At 39.5% G+C, this 7,594-nt stretch overlaps 1 annotated feature.

The window, feature by feature from the left end:
- Positions 7,072 to 7,131: a silencer, noted in NCBI's record as "silent region_13230". NCBI's record gives its function as "represses an Ori minimal core promoter by ATAC-STARR-seq in GM12878 lymphoblastoid cells {active_cell/tissue: GM12878}" and the evidence as "EXISTENCE:reporter gene assay evidence [ECO:0000049][PMID:35858748]".

Here is a 7,594-nt window from a genome sequence, read left to right as displayed (position 1 = left end):
TATGCAATTGTGTGGTGGAAAAGGTAATAACAGGATTTAGAGATAAAATCCAGCCCTTTGGATGAGAGATTGACAAGAAGTTGAAATTACGGGCTCTGGGTTTGCATTTTCTGTGATGACCCCAATAGATAAGTGCCAGGCTAGGTTTGACAAGGTCTTGAATATGAAACAAAAAAGGTGGAAGATTAGAGGGTGTGACCCTGGACTTTAGTCACAAACGCAAAGATGCATGAAGGTGTCGCCTTTTATCACCAGGATAATATTCACAAGTGCTATCTAAAAGAAACATATTTCTGCTGTGTCTTGTGTGGTAACGGCTTTGATGGACACTTGGCAGTCTCTATCAAAATGTCATATGCATGTAACCTTGACCAAGCAGTTCCATTGCTAGCAACCTCTTCTGAAGAAATACTTACACCAGTGCACAGATATTACATAGACAGATGCTCACTGCAGCAAAATACTTTAAATATCCTAAGTGTACATCAGAGAGAGAGAGAGAGAGAGAGAGAGAGAGAGAGAAAGAGTATGGACAAAGGCGAGAGCTGGGATCAAACCTAGGCTTTTCCCCCTCACTATACCACATTTCAGGAGTTAGTCAGTGGGTGCAGGTGGCTTTTGGGTGATCAGGACCCATCTGTGTCTTCTTCCCAGGATAGGTCAAGATTGGATGGTGGGGAGGGGAGGGAAGGCAGGCAAGTGTCAAAGCTAAGAGACAAGGAATAAGGCAGACCAGGCTGGGAATTTCAAACAACAATGAAGGAATAGGAAAAAAATTACATATAATTAAGCGGAAGGGGTTCTGAAGGAAAGCATCTTGTTTGACCAAAAGAGGATACCTTAATCAACTCTAACTCTACTCCCAAGGAACCATGAGCACCCCCACCTCTAAAAGACTCTGAATGAGCTTGCTGTTAGTCTAATAGGCTTTCTTGCTCTGAAATAGGATGAGGGACCAGGGAGAAGTTTACTTTTGAAGAATGTATTTGTTCCTTTTCATCAAAGAAAATCCATATTAACATGTGTTTGAGGGATTAGCACTTCTTTGACTTTCTAAGAATAGGAGCCGAATTCTTGCAGTGTTCACAAAGCTATGAAATGAAGGATTTGGTGTGACTGCTGCAGGGTGGGATGATTTAGAGTGTTCTTTTTTCTTTTTCTTTTCTTTTTTCTTTTTTTCTTTGTTTTTTTTTGTTTGTTTGTTTTTTGTTTTTGTTTTTTTTTTTTTTTTGAGACAGAGTCTCACTCTGTCGCCCAGGCTGGAGTGCAGTGGCGCGATCTCGGCTCACTGCAAGCTCCGCCTCCCGGGTTCACACCATTCTCCTGCCTCAGCCTCCCGGAGTAACTGGGACTACAGGCGCCCGCCACCACGCCCGGCTATTTTTTTTTTTTTGTATTTTTAGTAGAGATAGGATTTCACCGTGTTAGCCAGGATGGTCTCGATCTCCTGACCTCATGATCCGCCCGTCTCGGCCTCCCAAAGTGCTGGGATTACAGGCGTTAAGCCACCGCTCCCGGCCGATTCAGAGCATTTTAAGGACCACATGCCAATTTCAGGAGACCTGGCATTTTCTGCATTCTCTGGCGTTTCCAGTGACCCCAGATGCTATACTAGCATTTATATGACCTTGAGACAAATACTAGCCTTTCTGTGATTCATCTTCTCTACCTATTAAAAGAAGGGAGTGAAATTATGATCTGTACTATCTCTTCAAGTTGTGATATTTATAATTTTCAACACTTACCGTATCATCAACATTTTAAATAAACATTATTTAGTACTTATTAATGAGGGTTGGAAACATAAAAATTAACACAATTCATATATATACATATATGTACATATATTATATTTTCTGTGAATGAAACAAAAATATTTTGTACAAGAAAGTCTATCTGTGATCTGTATCCTTGGTTCTCCCCTTACTATTAGGAAATTTCTGATAAGAAAGAGATGGTTTGAGGAGAAATGATAAATGATAGCTGAAGGAGTAGATTATGTATATATCTTTGTATTCATCTGCCTTTCATTTTTCCAGAACCCTCTCACCCCCTCCACCCCTATGTGCGCTCGCACACACACACACACACACACACACACACACTCTATTGCCCCCTCAGCTCACAACAGAGTTGATAAGGAATAATGTTGAAATAAAAGTACCACTACCAAAACAGATATGTAGACCAATGGAACAGAATGGAGGCCTCAGAATAACACCACACATCTACAACCATCTCATCTTTGACAAACCTGACAAAAACAAGCAATGGGGAAATGATTCCCTATTTAATAAATGGTGCTGGGAAAACTGGATGTAGAAAGCTGAAACTGGATTCCTTCCTTACACCTTATACATAAATTAACTCAAGATGGATTAACGACTTAAATGTAAGACCTAAAACCATAAAAACCCTAGAAGAAAACCTAGGCAATACCATTCAGGACATAGGCATGGGCAAGGACTTCATGACTAAAACACCAAAAGCAATGGCAACAAAAGCCAAAATTGACAAATGGGATCTAATTAAACTAAAGAGCTTCTGCACAGCAAAAGAAACTATCATCAGAGTGAACAGGCAACCTACAGAACGGCGGAAATTTTCACAATCTACCCATCTGACAAAAGGCTAAGATCCAGAATCTACAAAGAACTTAAACAAATTTACAAGAACAAACCCCATCAAAAAGTGGACAAAGGATATGAACAGATACTTCTCAAAAGAAGACATTTATGCAGCCAACAGACATATGAAAAAATGCTCATCATCACTGGTCATCAGAGAAATGCAAATCAAAACCACTATGAGATACTATCTCAAGCCAATTAGAATGGCGATCATTAAAAAGTCAGGAAACAACAGATGCTGGAGAGGATGTGGAGAAATAGGAACACTTTTATAGTGTTGAAGGGAGTGTAAATTAGTTCAGCCATTGTGGAAGACAGTGTGGCGATTCCTCAAGGATCTACAACTTTAAATACCATTTGACCCAGCAATGCCATTACTGGGTATATACCCAAAGGATTATAAATCATGCTACTATAAAGACACTTGCACATGTATGTTTATTGCAGGACTATTCGCTATAGCAAAGACTTGGAACCAACCCAAATGTCCATCAATAATAGACTGGATAAAGAAAATGTGGCACATATACACCATGGAATACTAAGCAGCCATAAAAAAGGATGAGTTCATGTCCTTTGCAGGGACATGGATGAAGCTGGAAACCATCATTCTCAACAAAATATCACAAGGACAGAAAGCTAAACACTGTGTTCTCACTCATAAGTCGGAGTTGAACAATGAGAACACATGGACACAGGGAGGGGAACATCACACACTGGGGCCTGTTAGGGTGTAGGGGGCTGGGGGAGGGATAGCGTTAGGAGAAATACCTAATGTAAATGACAAGTTGATGGGCACAGCAAACCAATATGGCACATGTATACCGATGTAACAAACCTGCATGTTGTGCACATGTACCCTAGAACTTAAAGTATATATACGTATATATATACGTATATATATATATAAAGAAATAAAGGTACCATTTAGCCTCATGACATCACATACCAAGAGAAAAAAAAATCCATGTGTTACACCTGCCTATTCATCTCTTGTTATTTCACAGCAATTTGTCCTCAGGTGGAAGTAGAGGGTGTTGACCCCTGATGTGCGATAATTGATACAAATGTGTTTTTATTATGTAGACACGTAAAATGCATGTCAAATGCTTCTGCAATTATTTGATTCCCAAAATACAGCTTATTTGTATGCTTCCTAGACCTTCAATTACAGGCAGTGTAACTGACCCAGGGCCCCAGCTGCTGAACTCTGAAATAACATGTTTGCTTTGAGGCAAACATGCTTCCTGCTTCCCAGGGGCTGCTCCCAGCCAAAGACTGAGCACAGTGGGGACACTGAGGCATGCCCACTTTGGCTTTGGGGATTTACCTAATGATCTTGCTGAAACTTTATTAGACTGCACTGGTGGTCAAGAATGCGTTCATTCAATTTTCCTTCCTTCTCTTCTTCACATGGAGTCAGCCTTACCTGGCCACCTTCCCCTTTTCCCTTACAAACATTTCTCCTAACGATTTCCTTGCATACTTACCTCTGTCTTGGTATCTGTTCTTCAGAGTATCTGGACTAACACAAACTGATTAAAAGTACAGCTTTGTGAGGCACAGAACCATATGTTTGGTATCTTGCATGTTGGGTCAGTAGGAGGAACATAAGATAGAGGTTATGTTCCTCTATCTTATGGGGATACTGATAGAGGCATAATAATGGGGTAGCTGATAGAGGCATCAAGAACTCTCAACAGTGGTATCCTGTGTGGGGTTTTGGTAAGAACTTGTGAATCAAGAAAAGAACTGAGAGTGAAACTTTTCCTTAGGCACCTTTACATTAAAAGACAAAATTTCCCAACAAGTAAATGTATAATGATTTGAAAATGTAAAATCAAATATTTGGATTTAAAAAGCGTATGAATTTGAGAACAAAGAAAGTATAGGGTTTGGAGACAGCCAGATCTGAGTTTAAGCCCCAGATAATCTTTGCGATCTTGGGAAAATTACTGTGTTACTGGATTTTTTTTTTTTTCTTTTGGAACAGGATCTCACTCTGTCATTTAGGCCAGAGTGCAGTGGTGCAATCACAGCTCACTACAGCCTCGACTTCCTGGGCTCAGGTGATTCTCCCACCTCAGCCTCCCAAGTACCACCACACCCAGCTGATTTTTTGTATTTGTTTTGTAGAGACAGGGTTTTGCCATGTTATCCAGACTGGTCTCCATCTCCTGAGCTCAAAGGAGCTGCTCACTTCAGCCACTCTACAGTGCTGGGATTACAAGAGTGAGCCATGAAACCTGGCGTTGTTATTGAATCTTGATTCCAGTGATTTGCATTCCTCCTTGAATGTGAAGTATATAACCTCATTTACTGGCTCCCTGCAGGAGGCATCCTACTTGATTGACATTGGTCTTGACCAGGGGACTTGCTGGGGCCAGGGGACTGTGTGGCTGAGACACAGGTGAGTCTGAACAGAAGCTCTTAAGAGCCAGTGCACAAGGTGGTTAACTGCATTCTTTTCCCTCTGCCACAAGAAGCACAAGACCAAGTAGGGGCTGCTTCTATGGCCTGGATTCTGGAATAAAGTTGCAGAGCCGCAATTGGCTGGTAGCTGCCATCACTGACAGCCAACATAAGCAAAATAAACTTTCATGGTTGAAAACCACTGAAGTTATTCTCCAAAGTTTTGATGTTGAAACATTTCAGAATAAAGTTGAAGGAGTAGTTCAACTAAAATCCTCACTTAGATTCTCTAATTGTTAACATTTTGCCACATTTGCTAAATTTGTCTTGTTCCCTCCCTCAATATTAGAGCTCCCTGTTTTTGCTGAAACATTTGGGAGTTTGTTATAGGCATAGTGATATTTGGTTCCTAAATATTTTAATATATATATCTTAAGAATAAGGATTATTTCCTATATGACCATGACACTATTATTGTATCCAAGAAGTATAACATTGATATAATATTATTTAGTATACAGTTCAAGTTTCTCTGTCACAATAACATTCTTTGTAAATTTTTTTTCCTGATCCAAAACCTAGCGAGGATCATGCATTGATAATAACTGTATATTTCTTTAGTCTCCTTTAATTTAGGACAGTTTATTAACTATTTGGGGGTTCATCTTTCATAAAACTTACATTTTTGAAGAGTTTAGGTCAGTTGTTTTGTAGAATATATCACTTTTTGGATATACCTGATTTCCTCATAATTCTTTAGATTCAGGTTAAATATTTATGTTAGGAATACTCCATAGATAATATTGTTTATATCACAACCAAGAAGCACAAATAATGTCAGATTGTCTCATTTTGGGTGATGATAAGTTTGACCACTTGATGATGATATCCACCAGATTTCTCCATTGAAAAGTTTCACTTATCCATTTGTATTTTGTCAGTAATATGTGAGGTGATACTTAGAGACTATGTGACTATATCCCTGATCCTCAACAAACTTTCTCTACTGATTTTAGCATCTATTGACGATCCCTTCCTGTACCAATGGTTACATTGGTAGATGCAGAATGGTGATTTTCCCTATTCTATTATTCCTATGACTTTTATTATCTGGCATTCTTTTGTACAGAAAACTCTCTTCACTCTTTCTACACTGATTTATTCTTGAGTGTCATTACGGATTCATGAATTTTTAATATACATGTCATAATATTTCAGCATTATTCTTTTTGTTATGCAAACTCTCCCAAATTTGGACAGCGGGAGGACCTTCGAGCTTGGTCCGCCGTCCTTTTTAACATGTTTCTGTTTGTCTGTATTTTATAGTTAGTTGTAGGCTTTCTGGCACAGTAATGATCCAGGCTTATCTTAGATATTTACTGTTACAGACTTGATACTTTTTATTTGGCAGAGACATTGACAGAGTGAGACTAAGATTTGGGGAGCTGGTTGATAAAGAAGGCAAGATAAAGAAGATTCAGAGTAAGAAAATATTTGGGGGGAATTCTTGGCCAAAGATTTACCTCGGGTATGTCTCTCAAGCTCTTAAAACCTGAATTTCTTTTCCTGGAATATGAAGATTATTATGCCAATTGCTCAGGTAGGTTGTGAAAATTAATAAACCAAGCCCTATGATTGGCACATAGTATTTTTTGGCCATTATCACTAGTGACAACCTTTCAACTAGGTTAATTTCTCATACCGGTGAACTCCAATTACCTGCCTCCAATGGGTTTGTGATCAAACTTGCTTAAGTTTATGTTCAGAGGCTTTGCTTAAATGTGGCTCTAAGATGTTCTAAGGGCACTAGAGTGTTTCTAGGTAAGGTTAAATGGGTACAGGCTCTAAAAGGCCGATGAAACAGACAGCTTTCATGGGAACTGTATGCAAATTTGAGGAAGCAAAAGATACACCCGCCCTCCAACACTATATGTATATATGTACATTTCGTGGTTTGAATTAGGATCTTAAATGAAATGTAGCCTGGTAAAATGTAGACTGGATGTAAATCCAAGCTCCGTCACTTACATTTCCCATTTTAAAAAGTGAAGATACTTACACTTTCCTGGCGCAGTGGTTGTGAGTGTAACATTTGGGCCAAGGAGACGGTCGATCTATCGTGGCGCAGGGTCATATTTGTACCTTAGGCGGCACTTCCACCTGGTGGCGGCGCATTCCAATTGCAAGGCAAAGGACAGAGTGGGGGAAAGGCTGAATTCGACACCCTTAAGTAAAGCCACAGAATTAAACTACTGTAAATGAAAATATTTCCATCCTGTACCTACAGAGTGCTTACTTCAAATAACACTCACGTCCTGGTAGGACAGAAAAATTAGACAATGAGCTGAAGTTTGCCTGCAAGGGCATTCATTCATTCATTCATTCAAGAAACATCTGTTGAGCGCTGACTGCGCTGTGCTCTGTTCTGGGCGCTTGGGATACATCAGTGAACTAGAGACAAAAATTCTGCCCCGGGATGCCTTCTCCTATACATCCTATACTATATAAACTAAACTAGAAAATTTGTAAAGAGCTCTTAGGAATTACAACGT

This window comes from Homo sapiens, chromosome 21 (assembly GCF_000001405.40).
Source record: "Homo sapiens chromosome 21, GRCh38.p14 Primary Assembly".
Taxonomy (NCBI): Eukaryota; Metazoa; Chordata; class Mammalia; order Primates; family Hominidae; genus Homo; species Homo sapiens.
This window is presented reverse-complemented; position numbering and strand designations above follow the sequence as displayed.